Genomic DNA, 24,993 nt, shown 5'->3' on the forward strand with positions numbered 1-24,993 from the left:
AGTGGGCAAAGGACATGAACAAACACTTCTCAAAAGAAGATGTATAAGTGGTCAACAAAGATATGAAAAAATGCTCATCATAGCTAATCATCGGAGAAATGCAAATCAAAATGGCAATGAGATGCTAGCTCACACCAGTCAGTATGGCTTTCATTGAAAAGTCAAGAAATAACATATGCTGGCAGGGCTGTGGAGAAAAGGGAACGCCTACATACTGTTAGTGGAAATGTAAATTAGTTCAGCCACTGTGGAAAACAATTTGGAGATTTCTCAAAGAACTAAAAATAGAACTACAGTTCGACCCAGCAGTCCTATTACTGGGTATGTACCGAGAGGAAAATAAATCGTTGTACCAAAAAGACACCGGCACCCACGTGTTCATCACAGCACTATTCACCATAACAAAGACATGGCATCCATCCGGATGCCCACCAACAGTGGACTGAATAAATAAAATGTGGCACATATACATCATGGAATACCATGCAGCCATTAAAAAGAATGAAATTATGTCCTTTGCTGGAACATGCATGCAGCTGGAGGCCATTATCCTAAGCGAACTAACTTAGGAACGGAAACCAAATATCACATATTCTTACTTATAAGTGGGAACTAAAACATTGAGTACTTGTGGACATAAAGATGGCAAAAATAGACACTGGGATGACTAGGGGGAGGAGGGAGGAAGGGAGGGGGGCAAGGGTTGAAAAACCAGCTGTCAGGTACTAAGCTCAGTACCTGGTGATGGAATCATTCATAGCCCAAGCCTCAGCATCATGTAATATGCCCATGTAACAAATCTGCACAGGTATCCCCTGAATCTAAAATAAAAGTTAAAAAAAAGTTGTGTCGAGTGGGTATGTAGACTGGACTGTGAGCTTCCTGAGAGCAGGGCTGAAGCTTACTTGTTTTTTGTCCCCTCTTCCCCTGCTCCCCATTGGGTACCAATTATAGACCTGTGGATGCTCCATAAATGCTTGTATTGACTTGACCTGACTAGTTGGTAACCCACAGCAATGGAGAAACAGAGAGACAGATTACATCAGTGGTTTGAAAGAAGGAAGGTACAGGGGAAGCCTTCTCTGGGGAGATCTATCAGGGCAGAGTTCCTGAATGACAGGAGCTGTGGGACGTCATGAGTCTTAAGACATCTCTATACTGGGGCTGGGAAAGTGGCACCTACCTCCTTTCTCAGATAGCCCAGAGCAACAGGTGACATGGAGTGTTCCAGATGACTATGGTGGAACACATTTACGTGGCTCATGACATGACCCACTGGCACATTCTATCTGTCCTCCAACCTCCCCTGTTTCTTCCATCTTTTAAAGACTAATTATCTCTTCCTTTGCTCTGCAGCATAAGTGATAAGGAGGTAACAGCTGTTCACACTGGCATTGTACAGAAATCATAGTCTCATAGAACATAAGCATTGCCGTGTGCCAAAGATCATCTGGAACAGTGAGTGATTCACAGTCTTTCTTTCCCCCGTGCAACACTCTAAAGGGTTGAGCCACCTTCCTATCAGCAGAAAGAGCCTTCTACAGTGGTGATCTGGACTGCGGTGGGGTAGGGTGGGGAGTGTCACATGGGGATCTCAGGGGGTCGTGATGGTAGCTGTCAGGTTTGTTTTCTGTCATCTAGAGGGCATAGCCCTGGGAGAAGGGGACATAGGACAGGTACATTGTGATAAAAGTGATTAGGAATAGCCTGGAGCACACAATGGGTAGTCCTGCCCTCTCTGTATCCCACAGTTCTGATACTCCCTTCTCTATGCTCCTTCTTAAGTTGAAAATCACTGATCAAGTTAACTTAATTTTTCAGACGTGGAAAGCCAGAGAGACCCAAAGAAGGGAGGCAGCCAGAAACACAGAGTAAAAGACAATGCTGTGTGTTAAACCCAGGTCCCACAACTCCTGGTCAAGATCAGCAGAGCATAGAACTCTCTGAAAAGGACAAACATGCTTTCTGCAGAAGAGCAAAGGATATTGATGTACTCATTTGTTAGTTTAAAATGAAAGAAGAAGGAGGGGGCCAGGGAGTTCTTGAAAAGCAGCTGAAGAAGTCAGGGACACCTGGACATCAGCTAGAGGCATGGAAGGGCAGGGGCTGGTGTTTGGAGGCAGGAGAAAATCCTGCTTTACCTGAGACTGCAGGCTGCTTTCCAGGCTGGACTGCGATGGCAGAGGTGGTGGGGGCCAGGGGCTGTGGGTGGAGATGCGCTGGAGCTGGGGCGTGCGGGATCTCAAGCCCACCGTGTGCATCCAACTCCGTATTCAGCAAGGCTGTGTCAGTCACGCACCAGCTCTGTCACACACCAGCTAAGTGACTTTGGCAAGCTGCCTAATCTCTTTATGCTTCAATTTCTTCATTTGTAAAAATGAAGATGGTAATGAAAGTACTTATCTGGCAGGTTACTATAAGGATTAAACAAGTTAATGTGTGTAGTTAGAAGAGTGTCAAGTAGAAAGTAATCAACTATATTAACCATTATAATTGTGTTTATTACCTTGGCTTGCTTATGGGTCCCCAGAAAGCCAAAGAAAGAATCTCAGGGTTGTTATACAATGTGAGCAGCTACTAGAGAGAAGATTTAACAAGGTAAATCATGGTTTAAGCCAGAACCACCAGATCCTGTCATGGGCGGATTAGTGAAGGACTCAGTGGTGAGGCCCCGGATGTACCTGCCAAGCTGGGCGTCAAACACTTTCCATTCATTTTCTCCAAGTCCCCCCTGCTTTTGGTGCCTTCCTCCCACCTCCCAGGGGTCTGCTCACATCACACTCCCTGGCGGTGAGTGTAACCCTCCTATTCCATGGGGGACAGCTCCCCCAGGCAGGGAGACTTGTGTTTTCAACTTTTCTGGGATATGCCATGAGACCTTCCCTGTGTTCAGGGCTCTGTGCCCTGCTAAGTGACACATAGCTGCTTTGATAAACAAACTCTAAACATTCATGGGATACTGTTTTCTATCAGAGTAGCCCTCATAACCATCTCAGGAAATGGTCATAATTTTTAAAATCAGTATTCCAGGGACATGGATGTTTCACTCATTAAGGAAAACGAATTCCTAGTCACAGTACATTATCCTGCGGCTTTCCAGGAATGATGTCGACCACTCTCACAGTTCCTTCTAACACCCAATAAATCCAAAATACTGCTCTTCATGACTGTCTATAAGTCCCAAAGATACTTCCAATTCTACTGTCCCAAACCGACTGCATCATCTTATCTTCAAGATCAGCTTCTTTTGTGTTCATTGTCCCAGGTGATGGCAACCCCTTCCCCCAATTACTTAAGCCTGAAATAGAAAATTAATTCCTTTAAAAATGTATATTTGTTTTAGGATAGGTTCTTGCTATGTTGCCCACGCTGGTCTCAAATTCCTGGGCTCAAAGAACCCTCCCACCTCTGCCTCCCAAAGTGCTGGTATTATAGGCGTGAGCCACTGCACCTGCCCTTCTTGATTCCTCCCTTTCCCTTCACCCCTTGCCACGATTTAGTCAAACCAGTCTATGGAATTTAGGGTGACCAATCATCCCAGTTTTCCTGGGACTGAGGAATTTCCCAGGATGTGGGACTTTCAGTGCAAAAGTCAGGAAAGTCCTGGGGAAACAGCGATGAGTTAGTCACCGCAGATGAACTTCACCTCCATTTCTTGACTCCATCTCCTCCATCTGCAGCCTACCTTGCTAGTTCAGGTTCTTTCTGGCACTTACCTGGACCACTGCAGTGGCCTCCTAATATATGTTGAAGCCCCCAGCCTTGCCCCCTCAAATTTACCCTCCAAACAGCTAGCAGAGCCATCTTTGGAGAAGGCACTCTGAGAAGGTCACTTCACTTCTTGGCTGCCCTCTGACCCCCTTGGCTTCTCAGTGGCTCCCGACAGCCTACAAGACAGAGCTAAGATCTCTACCTGGCACACAGTGGCCCTGTGATCTGGCCCCTCTGGCTACCAATCTGGACTCTCAACAACCTACTGGCACCTTTCCATACCAGTAAAACAAGCTGGCCTCTAGTATCTTCCATGCTCTCCTTCCAAAGTACACAGGCCCTTGACTTTGTATCTTTACCCCTGTTATTGTCTTAATTAGGACCCTCACAGAAGCAGAGCTGAGACAAAGATTTGGATGCAAACAGTTCATTTGAGGGGTGATCCTAGAGGCAGGTATAAGAGAGTGGGGACCGTGAGACAGGGAGGAGGAACAGCCAATCTGTGTGTGCATGGTCACTGCTGGAGGACAGGGTGAGGGATTCCACCAAGCCCTCAGAAGCAGACACAATGCCTCCAAATGATGGGAGGCTGGAGTGGTTATCTGCCAGCTCCTATCCCCTTTCACTGAGAGATGCCTCTGGATGTAACCTCCCCCAGCTTGCAGGCCTTGCTTGCAAGAAGCCCTAGAGGCAGAAATCAGAAGGCTGCATGGTGTAACCTGAGGTGGGTGCTGCACTGTTGGGTCTGAGCCCATCGTGGCTGAGGCTGAAGTCTGAAGCAGACCAAAGGGAGCTGCCTCTGCCTGGAATGACCTTCCTCATTTTTTCTGGCCTGAGTTGCAGGCAGGATCCAGGTTTGTTCCCATTCAACTTTAAGACACCCTGAATTATCATCTCCTCCCAGAATTCCTGCCCAAAAGACTTACTACCAAAGCAGGAGCTGTACCCCTAGTACCTAGGACCATTATAGAGCTGGGTCCTGGCTTTCCCTCTGTGGCCACAAATCCCCAAACTCATGTTGATCCAATCCAGGGCCTCAAAGCTGAGGCTTTATTTTAATTGTCACTTAAGTAGTGTTTATTATGTTGCTGGGTACTAGTCTAAGCACCTTACAAATTTCAACTCATTTAATTCTTAGAAAAACCCTATAGGCTAAGTATGATTATTTTCTCTCTGTTTTACTGTTGAGGAAATTAAAACACCAAGAGGTTTAGTAACTTGCCCAAGGTCACACAGCTAATAGTGTCAGAGCTAGGACGCAAACCCAGGCACGTGGCTCGGAATCCCAGCTCTTCCTCTCCACACACGGCTGCTCAGCTAGAGAGGGCTCCCTGGATACAGAACAAGAAGGAGCAGGAGTCTTAGAGGAGTGTATTGGCTTGCTAGGGCTGTTGTAAAAAAGTACTACAAACTGATGACATCAACAACAGACATTTTGGGGCTGGCAATCCGAGATCCAGGTGTCAGCAGGGGTGGTTTCTTCCAAGGGTGCTGAGAGAGAAACTGCTCCAGCCTCTCTGCCAACTTCTGGTAGCCTCTGGCACCCTTGGCTTGTAGATGGAATTCTCTGTGTCTTCACATCATCTCCCCTCTGTATATAGCTGCAACTGTGTCCTAATTTCCCTCTTTTTTAGGACACCAGTCATATTAGATTTGGGTCCATGCTAATGACCTTATCTTAACTCTATCATCTACAAATATCCTATTTCCAAATAAGGTCACATTCACAGGTACCTATAGGAGTTAGGACTTCAACATCTTTTTGGCAGGCTAATTCGAATCATAACAAGGGGTCTGCTCTGGGCTTCCACACCCCCCGCTCTTAGTAATGGGCAGAGAGCTTGAGCACTTGTGCTCCAGGACACGCCAATGCATGAACGGGACACTCAGGGCATCTCACAGTTTGATCAGGCTTGTAGCCTTCATGGTACATATATTAGTCCATTCTCATGCTGCTATAAGTACATACCCAAGACTAGGTCATTTATAAAGGAAAGAGGTTTAATGGACTCACAGTTCCTCGTGGCTGGGGAAGCCTCACAATCATGACAGAAGGCAAAGGAGGAGCAGAGGCACATCTTACGTGGTGGCAAGCAAGAGAGCATGTGGAGGGGAACTGCCCTTGATAAAACCATTAGATCTCATGAGACTTATTCACTGTCATGAGAACAGCATGGGAAACTACCCCTCCCCCAACACACACACCATGATTTAATTACCCACCACTGGGTCCTTCCATGACATGTGGGGAAGATGGGAGCTACAATTCATGATATTTGGGTGAGGACACAGACAAACTGTATCAGTACATCTCACAACACCTAGAATCCAGACACCAAGGATGATGCACAACATTTCCCTGTTTTCCCCACCAATTCACCCTTAAGTCTATGTAGAATCAGCCCTGCTGAACATCCTTGAGTTTCTTTTCTCTCTGTGCTCTCTCCTTCCCTCTCCCTTGACATCCCCTAAGCTTTTCCTGCCATAGGAGCTGGATTGCTCCTCTTAGAGTGACATAAATCAAGGTCATGGACATAATGTTCTAGGCAAAATTCTGGGAGGAAGGTGATTCTTAAGCATTTCTGTAGCCAGACGGTGTTATGCAGCATCTGCATCTCTCAGAACTTGCGGGGGTGCTCTGGTCAACTTCCTCTGCCAGTCTCTGCCTCTGAGCCTGATATTGATAATTTCTGCCCTCACTCCCAGCCCAATCTCTGAAATCTCTGCCTACCCACAGGTAGACCAGAAGTACTAGGAAACTCACAGCCTTAGAAGCAGTCCTCAGGGTTGGCGTACAAATACCCCAGCTCACTCCTGCTTGGATGGGATAATTCTGAGTTGAGTATTTTACACCATTTCTCAGTTTCCTACAGGTTTAAGTAGGTTTACTGGCTGCCTGGCCTTCCCCGTGCCACCTCCCCACTTGTATTCCCTGCAATTTTTGAATAAATTACTCACACTCAAATCTTTACCTTCAAATCTACTTTTGGGAAAACTGAAACTCAAACAGCAACCATAGGAGAAGCTCCAGGCCTTTCAGATTCCTGAGTGGAGTTTCTAGCTCAGCACTGCTCCCAAAGAACTGTCTATGATCATAGAAATATCCTAGATCTGTGCTGTCCATAGCCACTAGCCACAGGGACTGCCAAGCCCTTGAAATGTGGCTAGTGTGACTGACAAGCTGAATTTTAAATTTTAACTAACTTTAGTTCATTTCTATTTAAATAGCCACTTGTGGTTTGTGATTGCTGTATCAGAGAGCACATGTCTGAAGGACAATTACACCTTTCTTCTTGTCCATGCTTTGTAGCAGAATTAAAAAGTGATTTTGGCTGGGCATGGTGGCTCACACCTGTAATCCCAGCACTTTGGGAGGCCGAGGTGGGCAGATCACCTGAGGTCAGGAGTTCGAGATCAGCCTGGCCAACACGGTGAAATGCCATCTTTACTAAAAATACACACACATACACGAGATTTGATTTGTAAATACCATAGGTTGGGGGCTGATAAGGAGAAAAGTTGGGGGAGGGTGGGCAGGGAACGCTGGGTTTTGACAATTCCTATTTCACCTGTTTCTCTTGAAGAAAGTTGTGCTTTTGAAGGATCAGGATTTCACTTAAGGCAGATGCTGCCCACAAAAGAATCCCACTGGTAGCACTAAAAAATGACAGGCTTATCTGCACTAAAGGCAAGGCTTGTGCCACTTAGAAGGCTTGAAGTTCTTGTAATTACTTCAAATAAAACCACTCCAGTGTTCTCTTGGTAAAACCCTTCAAAATCCAAGCTAACTGAGTGCCTCTTCTTTCTCTTTTAGCCATATGTTCTTAGAGACAATGTTTTCCATGACCTTGAGTTTATTAGGTTTTCAAGAGAGGTTGAGAGTAGAGTCCTTCAGAGAATGTTAAACACATTTTCCTAGGAGGAAACGCTCTCTAAGAACCATTTGTAGTGCAGAGAAAGAAATCAAAATCTTTTCTGCATAAAGGGTGAAGCCAGGCTGTCCACGTGTACTTAGGACCCTTGAAATTACGAAGAGTTTCACGTTGAGAACGGTCATGTCTCCCTTGCTGCTGGGACACAAAGGATGCAGTGTGGTGACTGGGCAAGTGCCTGGGCTTTGGGGTCACCCTGACCAGGGACTTGATGCCTGATTCTTCCCCTATGTGACTATGAGACTTTGGGCTGGTTTCTTAATCTTTCCTTATCTGTAAAGTGGGCATAATAATAGTACCTGCCTCATAGCATTGGTGTGAAGATGAAATGAAGCAATGCACGTAAAAGGTCAGCACATTGCCTGGCATTTAGAAAACACTTAATCAGTGCTATTATCTTTACCATTGTCATGAGACAGACTCAAGTTCAAATCCCAACTCAGTCACTTATTGATTGTGTGAACTTGGCCAAGTTGCTTAACCTCTGTGTCTCAATTTCTTCACTTTTAAAATGGAGATTAAAATCTACCTTGAAGGATTTTAAGGAAGAAAGGTTATTTGTAGGCAGTACTTGGCATGCAAAAGGTATAACTTAATAATTATTATTATATCTTTTTCTCCTTGTAGTGACAGGCATGTGGTAGGAATGTAACATACTTTGGCTGGATTATTTTTCTCTATGCTGAAAGATATTAATATCAGGCCTCTTTGCAGTTACTTCAGTGGACTACTAAAATTACTTCTTAGTGGACTCTGAAATTTGTATAGTGTTTTATACTTTATCAAGATATGCCAGGGATATCCTCTCTTTTGACTTCTTGCATTTACTCACTGTAGTCAGGGATAAGCTCTATGTTTTATATGTTAATTTCAGTCATGCTTTTGTGCATATTAAAGTCCATTTCAGGGATGAGGAGGCTAGGAACAGGAAGAAGCTCACAGTAACTGAGAACTTTGTACCCTGCACTGTGCCCAGATTTACCCATACTATCTCATTTTGTCTCCATAGCAATCCTTTGCTATTCCTCGAATAGGCTATTATTATATCCATTTCACAGGTAGGAAAACTGAAGCAAAGAGAGGTTCAACACATCATCCAAGATGACACAAGGTGGAGCCAACTTTCAAAGCCAGGCTGTCTCCCTCTGGAGCCCTAGTTCTTCCTCACTCTGCTATCTTGCCACACCATGGCTTTTTTGGCTTTTTTTCTTCTCCCTCAAGGACCTCTGCTTTGGTGAATTCTTGCCAAAATGAACCTCAGAGACATACATCTAAGGACCTTGCGTGCACCAAAGAGGGTGGGTGGAGGGGGCAGAGCTTCCTGGGGGTCCACTCTAGGGCCTGCAGGAGGCCTGACCTTGGGCAGACAGCCCTAGCCTCAGCTCTTCTTATAGCTCCCCTGCTCTTTCCTCTTCTTGAACTGCTGGGTGCCAGCATCAGTTCAGCTCTTTCCCCCCACCCTCTGCTCAAGGCCTAGGAGGACAGCAGCTGTCCCTACTTGCTGCACTGTGGGGAGGCGCCTGTGCTCACTGCTCTGCTGTTGAAGAGCTCAGTGAAGCATATGATGTGACTGTGGATATCCAACTGCTTTAGCTGACATCTTGGTAAGTGGCTTCCCACTCCAGTTCCGTGGAGGCCTTTCCCCGTTCTGATGTAGACCCGTGGGGTGAAGACTGGTGGGTCAGTGGGCATGCGGGGTGTGCTGGCATGTATGCCGCAGGGGGTCCAAGCAAGTTTGCTAGGTAGGTCTCATTTCTCCCTCTCGTTCTCTGTTTCTCTGTCCAGCAAACTGGATGGATGTTATTTCACAGACACAAAAGTGTTACAAAATCCAGCCCCCCTCCTTTGTTTTTTAAGCAAGATGGCGTCTCCTTTTCAGGCTTGCTGTGGTGGGCTGAGCCGTAACCTTACATGGGCGGATCCAGGCTTCATTTCACATAATTCACATTCTTGGCTTCCTGAGTCACTGTCATCATCTAACCTTTCCTGACAGCCAGGAGTGTGTGGGCGTGGATGGACAGGGAATCAGATAAGCCCCATCCATCTGTGCACACATCTGCTCGGGACCCCTTTACCTGATTCTAGAGAAAGCCTTTCACATTTAAAATAACGTGACTAAAAAATTCTTGTGTGAATTTCTTAATCCCTTGCTGGAGTCAGTGGACATTTTTGGACCAGGAGACATATGGCTGCCAAGAAAGGCTGAATCAGAAGGCAGGCAGCATCTCTTTAAATCCAAAACCTCTTTAACTGTTGAGTAGAAAATCAGAGTTCAGCATAGTGGCAGATTGTCAAGTTGTTCTCACAGTGAGAATCGTTATCCAAACCTAGTCTTATTCTGCATGCTTTCCTATTTATTCTCTTTAATCTCATGTCTTCTGAGACAGATTCCTCTTCTGCAGTAGACCCAGCCTTATCAAAACAGGAAGCAACTGTGGAAGCTTTCTCTGGGAAAGTAATCCCTGAGTGGCAGATGACTTCCAGGCTTACATTTTACCCCTTTCTCATCTGCCACATGCCCACTCCCTACATCTCCATCCCCTGGTTTGTGTAGAAAGCCATAATAAAGGACAATCCCTGGGAGCTCTTCCAGGGGTCTGCAGTGAGGATGAAGCTGAGGGCGTGTGTTACAGTCCACAGTGGTCACTTGGTGAGGCTCATCTGTGCTTGTCAGGAACTGGCTGGCTTCTATCCCAGGGACCTTGTAAGCTGTCTAACTCGGGCACACTCTCAAAGGCCCAGGGCACAATGCAGGCAACAGGTAAGGCACGTGGAGAAGTGGGGAGCACAGGTAAGGTTTAGAGGGGCAGCTACTTTCGCCTGTCAGGTGGGAAAGAGGCCTAGTGCTGCTGCATCTTCTGATTTTTTTTAAACAAGAGAAGCCAGATGGTCAGGCATCATGGCTGTCTGTAATCCCAGCACTTTGGGGGCCGAGGTGGGCAGATCACCTGAGGTCAGGAGTTTGAGACCAGCCTGGCCAACATGGTGAAATCCTGTCTCTACTAAAAATACAAAAAATTAGCTGGGTGTGGTGGTGCATGCCTGTAATCCCAGCTACTCGGGAGGCTGAGGCAGGAGAATTGCTTGAACCCGGGAGGCGGAGGTTGCAGTGAGCAGAGATTGTGCCACTGCACTCCAGCCTGAGCAAAAGAATGGGAGTCCCTCTCAAAAAAACAAAAAAGCCAGAAATACATATTTTTAAAAAAATATAAAATATTCCAATTTTTTAAAGGCTGACAGCCAACCAATAACAAACAGACAATACTGCAAAAACCCAAATGGAATATATCTGGGGGCTGCATTTGGCCCACAAGTCACCCATTTGCAACCTCTGGAAAAGCCTTCCTGAATTGACGCCTAAAGCCATGTTTGTGGTCTCCCCTTAGCAAACTTAGAGGATGCATGGGGTGTATTTTTGATACTTGATCATATTTCAGGGTTCATTTTATGTAGCCTTGTGTTTCCTTTGCTTCTTCATCATCATTTAATTCTATTAAATGTTATCTCATCCAACTGCATGTATCACCAAAGATGCCTTTTTGGAATAAGAAAGATAAATGAATTTCTTAACTGCAACATACTTGACCTCCCTGTTCTCCCAGGTCCCCACACTGGGCTAGTCTTTAGCTGAGTGCTGATGAGTCTAAGACGATCATGGTAATTCCTTCCCAGGGATTGGTTTTGGCATGCTCATGTGACACAACTCTAACCAATGACATGTAAGAGAAAGTATGGGGGAGGAGTGTACGTTGGAAAAGTTTTTTTAATGAAAAAGCTCTTGGACTCTTTAAACCATTGTGAGTCCCAGAGCTGACAGCCCTGGGACTTCCTCCTTCTCCTGGTTAAGTGAGATAACTAGTTTTTCTTATTATTCAAGCGACTTTTATTCAGGTTTTTCTGTTTGTAGCCAAAGCATCTGAGTTGATATAAAAAGGAAATTTCTAGGTCGTTAGCCATGCTCAGCTCACAAGATCAGATAATTTACCTATTCAGAGGGGATAGGCTGACTGCTCCTCAAGGGCCACCCTATTGAGAAGACCAAACTGTAGATTTCCATCTCTGCTGCTATTGCGGGTGGGTTGCGGGAGGCTGCAGGCACATTCCCTCCATAGCATTTACTGATTGCCTGCGTGAAGAATCCTTAATTCCAGTAAGCATGGTGAATGTGAGCAGAAGGAACTAGGTGTATTTTTAAGGACAGCCTCATGGAGTTCTAGAGATGAAAGCTGAAGGAATTTTCCTGAAAAGGACTGGGTAAGTGCATTTTCTTCTCACAACTAGTTAGAGTTCCTAAACTGTTAGGATGATGCCAGGTTTTGTTGATTTTTTTTTCTTTTCTTTTTTCTTTTTTGAGATGGAGTTTCACTTTTGTCGTCCAGGCTGGAGTACAGTGGCATGATCTTGGCTCACTGCAACCTCTGTCTCCTGAGTTCAAGCCATTCTCCTGCCTCAGCCTCCCAAGTAGTGGGGATTACAGGTGTGTGCCACCACACCCAACAAATGTTTCTATTTTTAGTAGAGACGGGATTTCACCACGTTGGCCAGGCTGATCTTGAACTCCTGACCTTGAGGGATCCGCCTGCCTCTGCCTCCCAAAGTGCTGGGATTATAGGCGTGAGCCACTGCACCCAGCCGATTTTTTTTCTTATATCAAATATTTGAACCATGTTTAGCTCTCACTTTTCTGCAATAAGCTACGAAATGTGATTTGTGACACCTAGAGATGCACCAAGGGCTCAATAACCCACGAGCCCCCCTAAATGCATGGATAGGACCAGCCTGAGGCAAAGCTGTGATATGGGCCCTCCCATCCCACAGTGTCAGTGGACCCAGATGGGTCACCCTCTGGTCTGGGAGTCCTCTCCCTACCTCTGGAAGAAATGTTGGGTTTCTTCCAACATTTGCCATTTCCTGAGCCCATCAAAGCTACAGAAAGTCCTGCTAGTAATAAAGAGGATGGTGATAGTAGTATGAGCCACAGCAGTAGTAGTAAAGCCTAACCACACCGAGACCTTGTATGTGTTAGACACTTTAAGTACTCTATCTATAGTAACTCATTTAACTCACAAAAACCTGGAAGGTAAGTTATCCTCATTTGACAGATGAGAGAGCTGGAGCCAAAGTCACATAGCTAGTTGGTGGCAAAGTTGGGATTCAAAGCCAGGCAGTCTCATTCTGGGCCTTGTGCCAGATGAATGTGCCACTGTCCTCTCAAGTGTTAAGTGATTACTCCTGGGGATGGGGAGAGGGGTAGGGGGACTTTTTAAACATTTTTAAACATGCACTAATTTTAGCTGACTTAAAAATGTTAGACATGACAGCCAGCACACACTCTTGGAAGTTCGTGTCTAGAGACTGCACCTTAACATCTGCTATGATAGCACTCATAGCCCATCTTCCCACATGGCTTCTGAAAAACCACTACCATTGTTTCCATTGATGAGACCCAGGAAGAGAGGAAATCGAGGATGGATTTTATGGTTACAGTTTGGGGGCCTTTATGTGGTTCCTGGACAACCTTGGCTAGAACACCCCCGGCTTTAGGGGGATGGTAGTGGAGAATTAGTCAAGTAAAGACATATGAAATCTGGAATTATGCAATTTCTAATTCTTGGGCAGGGTGTTTATCTTGGCTCTTAGACTGCAGAGTTCATAACTCAAGAGTACAGCTACTGATATATTTTTACAAAGTGATTATCTGATTTTCTTGGTTTCGATGTCTTTCATCAGTTAGGTGTCAATGGCTACCTATGCTCTGGTTACTATGGTTGCATAACAATTACCTCCCCCCGCATCCCCATTCCCAAACATAGTGGCATAAAACAGCCATGTATTAGGCTCACACATTCTGTGGGTCAGGAATTTGATCAGGGCAGAGGAATTCTATGGAGCAGAGACAAGAGGATGGCTGGCTTGACTCTACTCCACAGTGTCTGGGGCCTCAGCTGAAAGCCCTGAAGACTGCAGGCTAGAATCTTCTGAAGGTTTGTCCATTCACATGTCTGGTGGTGGATGCTGGCTGTTGGCTGAGGTCATCAGTCCCTCCCCATGTGGCCTCTCCACTTGGACTTGTTTGGACTTTGTCGCTGCATGTTGGCTGGAAAGCGAGCACTGGGAGGGCTTGGAGGGGGAGGAGAGGTGGAAAGCAATGCAAGCAGTGGATGGAGGCTCTGACCTTTTTGGGATCTAGCCTCTGAAGTCACAGAGCATCAGTCACTTCCACCATTCTTCAGTGACTTGAGCAGCCATAGGCTTGTCCCTAGATTCAAGTGGAGGAAAAACAGATGCCACCTCTCAGTGGGTGGGCACCAGTCACATTATAGGAAGAGCTTGTGGAATGAAATAGTAATCTCCATCTTTGGAAAATGCAATCTACCCCTCATAGGATGGTGGCATCAGTGGCAATAATGGCAGCAGCTGCAGAATAAGCCTTAACTGTGCTTCCCACATGTACCAGAGAGACCCCCCACCCCCTCCATTATAGTTTAGAAAAGACTCCTCACGCTAGTTTCGACAGTTACCTACCCTATATCCCATTCCATACAGCCTTGTTTGGAGCCAGTTAATTGGAGAAACTCATCTCTGTTAATGGGTGCTAATGGGTTACTCATCCCATGAGGCCTAACTATAGGTAATGGGGATCTGCCTTCTGGAGACAGGATTACTTATCCTAGGTGACTTAACAATGGCCCTAGAAGAAGGGAGTGGGTACAAATGGCTCTCTTTTGGTGCCACTCAGCTCACATTGTGTGGGCAGACACCTGGCTCCAAACTGCAAGCCAGGATCCATATGACAGCTCAATTAATGCAAGATTGCTGGGTGCAGCTATCCACTACAAGATAAGCTTAGATGAGTCATTTATTTCCTGGTTCAAAAATGTCCCTTTTGACCTGGAAAACTGATGTTAAAAAATTGTGTTTAACTGGTAGAACTAAAATGATTTTTATTCTCTGCTTTTCTCTATTTTCTAATTTTTTCATGAGTAATATTATCCTTACAATACAAGTAAAATAATTGTTTTTTAAAATTTTTCATCAGGAAGGAAAGCAGGAGAGAGACCTGGGCCCTGACCTTCCTTCGTCACCATCAGCTTGTGACATCTTCTCAGGCCAGCCCTAGCCAACTCTGTGACTGTTTCCACAGGTGTCGATGTTGGCATCATGTCTAACTTCTGCTGCTTCCCAAGGTCGCCATGATCATCTCATTAGTGAGCAGATGTAAAGTATTTGTAAAAAGGCATCATACAAAAACAAAGTTCATTGTTATTCATCCTTTTCCTTCCCAAATACACTAGACTTCTTTAAAACATTAAAGCAAAGTGAGGCCAAGCTGTTTACTTGTTTAACCTAATATGAAGGGCCACTGCAAAGCCTGAGGCTCAAAGGTAAGATTCACAGCCAGGTGCAGTGCCTCCCGCCTGTAATCCCAGCACTTTGGGAGGCCAAGGCAGGAGGATTACTTGAGGCCAGGAGTTCGAGACTAGCCTGGGCAACATAGTGAGACCCTGTCTCTACAAAAATAAAAAAAATTAGCCAGGCATGGTGGTGAGCGCCTGTAGTTTCCAGCTACTCAGGAGGCAGAGGTGGGAGGATCACTTGAGCCCAAGAATTTAAGGTTGCAGTGAGCCATGATTGCACCACTGCATTCTAGCCTGGTGACAGAGTGAGACCTCATCTCAAAAAAGGTAGGATTCACAACATGTTTTGAAATCCTACAGAGTTCCTGAAGACACACACACACACACACACACACACACACACACACACACACTAGATGTGATATGTGGTTAATGGAAAAATAGCATCAGAGACACCGCATTCATTAACAGAAATGAATTTCGTTTGGCATTTTCTTCTTTGGTCTTCTTGATATCTATCTTATAGCTACATGCAGCACCTGTGGGCTGATAAATAATGTAGTCAAAGAATTCTGCAAATCCAGAAAGGTCACTGTTTATACATCATCTGTCTGTCAAGTAAAATTCTTGGTTCAAAGCAAAAAAGCAAGTTTATTTTGGGAATTGGTAACTTGGAATAACAGCTGCAAAAAGAAATGAGAAATAAAGACCCATCACTTAATTCTTTTTCTAAATATTCATCTGAAGCCAAATTTCATCAAATTTGATTGGTTTTAAGGAGAAAAATCTTGCCAGATGGAAACATGAAGATTGGAAAAGCAACAGAACTTGGATTTCAGAACTGTGGGGGATTTATAGAAGCATTTGTTAACAACTGAGGATATGCACAGCCTGGGTGGGTGTCAGCTCAACTGTGTGACCTGGTGTCCCCAGCCCAGCCATCCTTGTCTGCACAGCTGAGGAGGTTAATGATGATGGAGAGACTTAGGGGTACTCCCCGCACTCTCTCCTGAGATCCCAGAGCAATCCTGATTGTGGCCGTAAATATTTATGTAGAACCATCGCTTCTCGCCTCCAAGCTGGGAATGACTTCGCATTGAACTTCAGCCCTGCCTGCCCCAGATTGACCGTGGCTTCCTGAATCTTACATTGCAGCAGCTCCTTCCTGCCCACTTTCTCCCTGTGCTATCAGGGTGACCTGCAGCAAATGTTCTCACACAGAATCCTCAAACAACCTCCAGCACAAGGCAGGTGATACCCTCGTTCTCCCATGGGGAAACTCCAGCCTAGAGGTCAGGGGACTTGACAAAAGCACACATGAATGGTAGAGCCAAGCCTGCCTGTCTGCAAATTCCTACTTTTGGTCTCTCTGCTGCCCTTTCAGCCCTGCCCCCAGGCTTCAGTTTGGGAGGCCCCTCATCTGCACCTCACCCCCAGTGCCTCTGTCCTCACCTGTGCAGTGCTGGTTTGCAGGTTAACACCTGCAGGCTCCTCTGGGGCACATTACTCTTGCTTGCTGTGTTCTGTGGCCACCACACTACCTTGGTTCTGGGGCTTGGCCGTTTTGAGGGTAGAATCTCTGAATGTCAGGGAATTCAGTCTTGAAAAATTTCCGCTTTGCTGGTAAAAGGAACGCCTCCATTCTTTTCTCAGCTCAAGCAAACGTAGATCACTGTCAGGGAACACAGTATCAGCAATTTCCCCTTCTCTTCAGAGCATGGGACTGGACTGGAGATCCCATCTTTGGCTTCAATATTAATATCCAGGGAGTTACCACTTCCTTTCTAAACAAGGGATGCTGCCTTTGGAGGATGGTGCCCTGATCTTGGAAGAGCCAGGTTACCCACGTTTACAGGGACTCTGTCAAATGAAAAGGTGAAGACCTCAGGCACAGAAAAGCTCCTGCTCCAGGCTACACTGATCTTTCCTAACCTCCTCAAACACAGCAGTCCTGGAGGGAAGCTAAGCAAAGACAGGCCTGCCTCATAGTTTTTTTCAAACCCATTCGTTTGATTTGGTTTTGATTAGAGTAGGCTAGTCAACAATGAGCAAAGCCTTTCACAAAAGCCAAAAACATACGGAAATTCCAAATTGGTGTTTAAAATTCAAAATTTGGCCCAAGAATCTTACTCTACAAGAAAGAAATCTGCATTTGTATATTCTTTCTCAGTTACTCGAGAACAGACTTCCGTATATTCTAATCAAAGGCCTTGGGTCCCAGAGGCTGTGTTGGTCTGGTTCCTGACAGCCCTTGAATTCCAGCTTCTAATCTTTTGCAGATCTCACTATGTGCAGACTAAACTAGAGATGTCTTCAAAGGCAGCTCTCTAGACTTGTATGTGCTGGCTGTTTTCTGGGCTCAAGTTCATGCCATGATTGTCTGACCCATCTTCCCTGGAGAGGCAGATTTCTTCCATTCCAGTCTTTAATCATTATCTGTGTTAGGCTTGACCAACCTTTCTGAAGGACAATTGATTTTAAATAGTAGTCACAGGCTTAAGTATAGTCTACAAAGCAGATTTTTATTACACTGTAGTGAAAGGGCACACATAAAAGTGCATGTGAATCACAGAAGGCAGGCGAGAGAAGGGGGTCAGCTCAGGACAGGAAGAGAATAAATTTGTCCACAAATTACATAATCCACAAATTACATAATACATTAGCAAGTAACACATTCGATCCCAAACTCTCAGGGAGAAAAAAGTAATTCGTTTTCATGTTCCCTTGTTTTATTTTTTCTTCTTAAATATTGAAAATGAGTTGTGATGAAAAGTCAAATGGCTTTAAACCCATGATCAATATCCATACTTGGAGACAATATTAAAACAAGCGATTTTAAAACCAGACAATATTAAAACAAGACAATGTTAAAACAAGAATGACTATTCTCCATTTCATTTCTCCTGTGATACTGTGACTGTAACTGCCATTGCTAACTAAAACATTTGGGTTGGCTTTCTCACATTTTAAAGCTCTTCTTATTTCTTTTGTCACCCCAACAACTCTGTGACTCCCATTTCAATGATCCCTGCTCCAGAGATGAGTAAACTCATTAGTTTATCACTATGCAGAGAGAGGGGTCTGAAATCAGCACTATGTGATGTGGATACTGACTGGGATTTGCAGATCGATGCCCCCTACATTTCTATCCTCAGATCCTGTAGAAAATAACTAGCTCACAATGCACATGGCAGTCATCAAATTCTGTTGTGGATGCCTGTTGCTACATAACAAACTACCCCCAAATTTAGAGGACTAACACTACAATCACTTTCTTCTGTCTCAGTTTTATAGATCAGGAATTTAGGGAGGACTTGGCTGCAGCCTGTGATATAGATAGGGAACATTCAGTGGCTATCAGCTGGCAGCTGGTCTGTCTGGAGGGTCAGGCCACACACACACCTGGTGCCTTGGTAGGGACAGCTGGAAGGCAATGCTCAGCTGAGCCCTTCTTCTTCTCCCAGGAGAGCCTCTCCATGTTGTCTCTCCAGCAAAGCAGTTGAGCTTCTTTCATGGAGGGCTCCCAGAGCCCGTGCTCTGAGCAACAGGAAATGAAAGTTTCCTGACTCTTAAAGCCTGGACCTGATCGAAACACTCACAGAACCTGCCTAGATTTAAGGTGAATGGCAAATTTATATAATGTCTGCACAGCTTCATATAAACAGGGAAGGTCCAAAACTGATACCATTTGATGATGACTACATAGCTATTTGTGAATGGAGGCTCACAGTTTTGAGAAAGTTCCATATTCAAGGGAGAAAAGAGCAGCAATGTTATCTCATCTGAGGCCCCAAATTCCTACTTTCCATTGAATGACTAGCCCTGGATTTCCCAGAGCACAGTGTATGCGACTGTCAACTGTCCACACCCAGGAAGATCTAAAAAGAAGAGACAGTTCTGAGGTGATTTGTGAGGCCTAGATTTCCAACAGCTCTTTCTTCCCCTGTGGTAGGCAGGCTGGTGGTGGAGGCAGGGGGAAGAATGCTACTGTTGCATGACACACTACCCCAAAACTCAGAGGCTTAGACTTCATTCCCTAAACTTAGGAATATTACCATATTTAGCAAAAGGGGCTTTGCAGATGTGATTAAGTGAAGGATTTTGAGATGGAGAGATAACCCTGGATCATTGGGCATACCCAATGTAGTCACAAGGGCCCGTGTAATAGGGAGGCAGGAGAACAGAGTGGGTAGCAGGAGATGAGAGGCGGGGAGCAAGAGGTCTGAGTGAGAGGAGGAAGAGGCCAGGAGCCAAGGAACATGGGCAGCCTCTAGAAACTGGGAGGCAAAGAACAGAGTCTTCACTGGAGCCTCCAGAAGGAACTGCTGACACCTTGGTTTTAGCCCCGTGAGACTCACTACAGACTTCTGACTTCCAGAACTGTAAGATTAAAAGTGCGTGTGGCTTGAAGTCACTAACTTTTATGGTAATTTGTTACAGCAACAACAGGAAACCAATTTACTCTCCTAAAACACCGTGAATAAGTTACCTATATAGCATCTCATGGAATTTATATTGCACAGGGGTTGACCTAATAAAGTGCAACAGAGCCTCTTCCGCCCAGAGATAAACTAGGATTCCGCATCCCACCTCCGGCTAAATCCCCGTGAACACATGGTTCGATTTTTGTTCATCCTGCCTTTGTAAGTGAACGGCTTCCAGGGAAAAGAGTTAAAAGTAACCAGGAGTTAAAGGCCATCTTCTAATGACTGAGGGAGCTAGTAACAGTGAATTTTGCTTTTTTTAAACTTCTAAACTTGAAAGAGTGGTTTAACTAGGGAGGTCTCTTTTAAGGACAAGGCCACTAAACCTCGAGTAGATTTCTTTCTTTGCTTTTCTTAGAGGTGGGGTCTTGCTATGTTGCCCAGGCTGGAGTGCAGTGGCTATTCACAAGCACAATCACAACGCACCGCAGCCTTGAACTCCTGGCCCAAGTGATCCTCCCACTGCAGCCTTCCAAGTAGCTGGGGCTACAGGCACGCACTACCACTCCCAGTATGAATGGGTTTCTTAAGAGTTATCCAGATAATTCAGACTTAACGTCTCATATTAGAGAATAAAACTCAACTAATATCTTTTTTGACAGGGAAATAATGTAAAAATGTTTACATTATTACACACTACAATAATAATGTACTAATGTTTATCTACTTTTGTCAAGTACTTTCACAGACCACTCTCCATGAATGTTAAGCATCATGACAAGTAAGCTTGTCTTCCTTATAAGAGAGACTGGGAAGTGGAGACTCAGAAAAATTCAGCAACTCAGGGAACTCCCATACTAAGTTGTGAAGGGACTGATCTTGGATTTGAGTCTAAGCCTGAGTTCCAAGTGCCTCCCCTTAAACCTCTCAGGTCAAGACCAAAGGCAAATGTTCCTACCAAGCTCCCTGCTCCTCACCCAGCAAGAAGGGTTTAGATAACTGAAGAGGGTTAAATCAAAAATCAGTAAGACATTTGCCTATATCAGACACCAACCTGACCTCAGTTTAAAAGAAGTGTCCTTTGAAGGCCAGGTGCAGTGGCTCACGCCTGTAATCCCAGCACTTTGGGAGGCGGAGGAGGGTGGATCACCTGAGGTCAGGAGTTCGAGACCAGCCTGACAAACATGGTGAAACTCTGTCTCTACTAAAAATACAAAAATTAGCTGGGCGTGGTGGCAGGTTCCTGTAATCCCAGCTACTTGGGAGGCTGAGGCAGGAGAATGGCTTAAACCCAGGAGGCGGAGGTTGCAGTGAGCCAAGATCATGCCATTGCACTCCAGCATGGGTGACAAGAGTGAAACTCCATCTCAAACAAAACAAAACAAAAGGAACGGGCCTTTGGGACACACGGGACATATGAATATAAGCTAATATGATGGTAGATGGGAAAGGCACGATGGTGAAAAAAAAAAGCCCTTATCAGTTAAAGACATTCTTCTCATGTATTTATGGGTAAAATGACAAGTTTGAAACTCTCTAGTCCCATTTCCCAAAGTGATGAAGAGAGATGATGTAAGATTGGCAGCCTGTTGATACATTTCGAAGTTGGGTGATGGAGCGTGTGGGTTTTACTTTAGTATTCATTCTCCCTCTGTGTGTGTTTTAGATTTTTCATGATTAAAAGTAAAGAAGAAGTGCCGGGCATGGTGGCTCACTCCTGTAATCTCAGCACTTTGGGAGGCTGAGGCAGGCGGATCACCTGAGGTCGGGAGTTGGAGACCAACCTGACCAACATGGAGAAACCCCGCCTCTACTAAAAATACAAAAATTAGCTGGGCGTGGTGGCGCATGCTTGTAATCCCAGCTACTTGGAAGGCTGAGGCAGGAGAATCACTTGAACCTGGGAGGTGGAGGTTGTGGTGAGCCGAGATTGCCCTCTAGCCTGGGCTACGAGAGTGAAACTCCATCTAAAAAAAAAAAAAAAAAAAAAAAAAAAAGGAAGAGAGAGAACTGTGACCTCGGGTACCAGGACAAATACCAAGGAGATCTCACTAGAGAGGGTTCTCTCTCCTTAGCATGTCTGTCCTTGGTCTAGATCCTCAGACTGGCCTCCGTGAGCATTTCTGAGTCTGAGAGCAAACTGCCTGCAAGCACTGCCTGAGGAGGACGATGTGACCAGCTGCCCTGGTGAGCATTTCAGATGAGGAAAGACCATTTCCAGCTTGCTTGAAAGAGAAACAAGGAAATGCTCAGGGGACAGCCAAGCTGCATCTATCACCACCTCTCATTCTGGCACCCAAGGAGATGGGACCCAGGTGCCCCGAGAAAGACTGACAGAACAAGGCGTGGGAGCTGAAGGCCGAGGGCTGGAATCCATCGGGCTCTGAGATCATGGCTCTACTCCCTCATCAGCTTCAGAATCCAAGACCTCCCTTTCCTTTAAGATTCTTGATAAATGCCAGAGCAGAAATGGGAGAGGCAGGAAGTTCAGGTTCAAGGTCAGAAGAGGTGGTGGTGTGGGATTAGCAGCTCCTGGCCAGTCACCTGAATTTATCTGGAGAGAAAAACAGGGTTGCTCCCTTTCCTAACATGGCAGGATAGTAGGACAGCCCTTGCTCCCCAGGGGCCCCTGGAAATGAATTCCAGTGGGCCTAGGAGAGGGAAGTGGCCATGTTTCCCTCCACTCTTCAGAGAAGTAAGACAATTCGCCAGCCTAGAGCACTGTCAGAGCATAGGGTGATTCCTAGTTTGCTGGCTGATCTCTGCTGCCCAGCTGGATTGTTTTTCACTCAGCAACAGAGTCCCAGGCACTGTTTTGCTCTTCTGAATAGCAGAAACACTTTTCATGCAGCTACAGGATAATTTCCTAACAAGTGCATGATTTCCTGCTTAGATACTTAGAGTGAATAGCTCTCAACCCTGACCGCACATTCAGGTCACCCAGGACAGTTAAAAGCCCCCAGAGCCCGGAAATCACCCCTGATCAGTTAGGTCAGCATTCCTTGGGTGGGCCTCGGACACCAGGGTTAGAAAAGTTCCCCAGGTGATTCTAATGTGCGCCGAAGGTTGGAACCAGCTGTTTAGAATCATTCAGGCCTCTGCTGACATGTCACCTCCCGCAAAAATGCTTTCCCCAACCAGCCAGTTTCAAAGAGCCTGCTTATTTTTTTTCTGCTAACAGATATTACATGACAGAGTTATTTGTGTGTTTGTGTTGTCTGACTGCTCAATTAGAAAGTTCTGCATGGGCAGGGGCATCAGTGAACCATCTGTGTTGTTTGCCACCGTATCCCGGTACCCAGAACTGAGCCGGCAGAGAGGAAGCACGGTCTGAATCGTGGCTGAGCAAATGAATACATGACCAAGAGGCGGTTTTTATTCATTTTATGATCCATTCACAGGCTTGTGGTGGATGAATAATGTTTGTAAGATTGCAGGAGAGTGTGTCAGAATGGAGACTGTCCCTAACTCCAGGCTCTGGGGGGAGAGCACCCACCCTTCTGTTATGGGGTTGTAAAATCCCTCAAAAATCACACTAGATCGCCCCGCAGAGTGCGGTCCACAGCGCCATCTGCTGCTCAAAACATAGAACTGGGTTTATTTGTCTAAGATCTGGAAGGGGTGCTTCAAAGAGTCTCCCCTAGAAAAGGAGCCACAGGCAAGCCTCTTCCTGGACACAGTCAACAGTTTGGGTGTACACCATCTTGTGTGTGGGTGTGAGTGTGTGTCTGTTTGTTCATATGTGTGCGTGCTTGTAAACAGAGACAGTGATTGAGATTTACCTAAAGCACAAATGCAAAACCAAATTCAACCACTATTTTAGGATTGACCCAAGCAGTGAAGAATCTCTGGGTCAGGGCCAGAGAAGTCAAACCTAAGAATCTTGAAATAACTCCAACAAGTTAAAAATGCCCAGCGTGAAATGAGTGGGAGATTCCATTCTCTGTCTCTCCCAACATCTGCTGCTTTGGGACCATACCGAGGTGACCACATAAAGGGCTGTTTGGTGGTCTTTGATCAGTTCCTGGAGCTAAAATGACAAGAGGTCCCAGCTGTTAGAAGAGCTATTCCAAGTACTTAAGCAGGCTTCCAAATGCTTACCCTATGTTCATTAAGCTTTAGACTGGTTTGTTGTTTTTATACTGTAACCCAATCTTTAGAATGAAAGCCTCATACTCTCTGTCTGTCTGTGTCTCTCTCTCTCACACACCCTACACATGTACACATGCAAGATTTAATATATTTGGAAGCTTCTCCTTGACCCTTACAAAAATGATGTAGTCTATTTCAACTTGAAAATATTGGAGAAGTCCAGAGATAATCCCTGGGGGAGGTGAGGTTATTTAACCTGGAGAGGAGAAAGTTGATTTAATAAAATCTTCAAGTGAAGAGCAGGTGTTGATTAGGTGGGCATAGGACTAAAAGATGTGTGGGCTACTTACACCATAGGGGCTCCCCTTTATGGAGTTCTATGCAGAAGATACCATGATATCCTGTGATAAACATGCTGCCCTGAGTGACAGCCAGTCATGCTTAAGAGAGTTCTAAGGTCTCCCAAGGACCATTATGCCAAATATGGGCACCAGCTGTTCTCCAAAGTACAGAGGTGAAAACAAAGAAAACTGGCTTACACTATGGCTTGAGGAAATAAACCAAACATCAAGAATTTCTCAACAGTGAATTATTATGTTCTAGACCAAGCCATAGAGAAAACGTATAAATATTCTTTTTATTGGTGACTCGTTTCAAGATAGGACACATTCTTATCTGAGACTGCTGGTGTCTGAGATTTTTAGGAATTGGAGGCAGTGAATATAAGAAGTGATTTCTGTGGTCATTCAGCAAATATTTAATAAGAACCTGGTCTCTATCAGGCCCGGTCATGGTTCCTGGGGAGAATTCAGGCTTGTATACGACCTGGTCCTGCCCCTCTGGGAAGATGGGGTGAGGATGGGAGGAGCAGTGAGAAAGACACAAAGAGACACCAGACACCCTAGAGAGGTTGCTTCTCATGGGGCTGACCAGGCTGTGCTTGAGTTGAGCCTTGGAAGGATGGGTTGGATTTTGTTTAACGGGACAGCAGGGAGTGAGGCAAGGCTGGTGCAGCCAGGCCAAAGCGACTCTGAGAGTGAAAACCCAGTCTTAGGAATCCACAAGTCAAGTCTGAGGGATGGTGGGTCATTTGGGTTGGAGCAGATGTGTGTAGGGGGCAGTGGTGATAGATAAATAGAGAAAGGTAGTTGTGGGTGGCCTCAAATGCCAAACTAAGGAATTCAGACTGTGTTCTGTGAGCAACAGGATGTTAGTTAGGACCTTCAAGATGCCAGTGGCCTAAAGAAATTGTGTGTTCTGAGCCTATGGTTTATGCTGCTGGGAGTCACAGGGATCCCCCCTGAGTCCTAGAAAATCTGGGAACAGCTAAGGGGGAGATTGCTGGTTCCTTTTTCAGAAGAAAAGGTAGTTATTCCATGGAAGATGCCAAGTTCCACCAAACATGCTTGAAACGCCACTCAGGGGACGTAACCTAAACAGCATCACCTTACAGTAGCATCAGTAGACTTCCACCTT

At 45.4% G+C, this 24,993-nt stretch overlaps 1 long non-coding RNA gene across 1 annotated transcript in view, besides 2 other annotated features; it reads left to right on the top strand.

The window, feature by feature from the left end:
* Window positions 1-14,972, top strand: part of LOC107984005 (uncharacterized) — a 79,776-nt gene extending 64,804 nt beyond the window's left edge. Inside the window, exon 5 of the long non-coding RNA XR_928468.3 lies at window positions 14,683-14,972. This is a non-coding gene — a long non-coding RNA (uncharacterized LOC107984005). The remainder of the gene's footprint in view (window positions 1-14,682) is intronic.
* Window positions 8,828-10,027: an enhancer, noted in NCBI's record as "MED14-independent group 3 enhancer chr8:102299618-102300817 (GRCh37/hg19 assembly coordinates)". NCBI's record gives its function as "activates an origin of replication core promoter dependent on BRD2, BRD4, P300/CBP and CDK7 cofactors, and independent of MED14, by STARR-seq in HCT116 cells {active_cell/tissue: HCT116}" and the evidence as "EXISTENCE:reporter gene assay evidence [ECO:0000049][PMID:35650434]".
* Window positions 18,935-19,105: a silencer, noted in NCBI's record as "fragment chr8:102309725-102309895 (GRCh37/hg19 assembly coordinates)". NCBI's record gives its function as "represses an EF-1alpha promoter that drives an FKBP-Casp9 reporter gene in an ReSE screen in HepG2 liver carcinoma cells {active_cell/tissue: HepG2}" and the evidence as "EXISTENCE:reporter gene assay evidence [ECO:0000049][PMID:32094911]".

Source organism: Homo sapiens, chromosome 8 (assembly GCF_000001405.40).
Source record: "Homo sapiens chromosome 8, GRCh38.p14 Primary Assembly".
Taxonomy (NCBI): domain Eukaryota; kingdom Metazoa; phylum Chordata; class Mammalia; order Primates; family Hominidae; genus Homo; species Homo sapiens.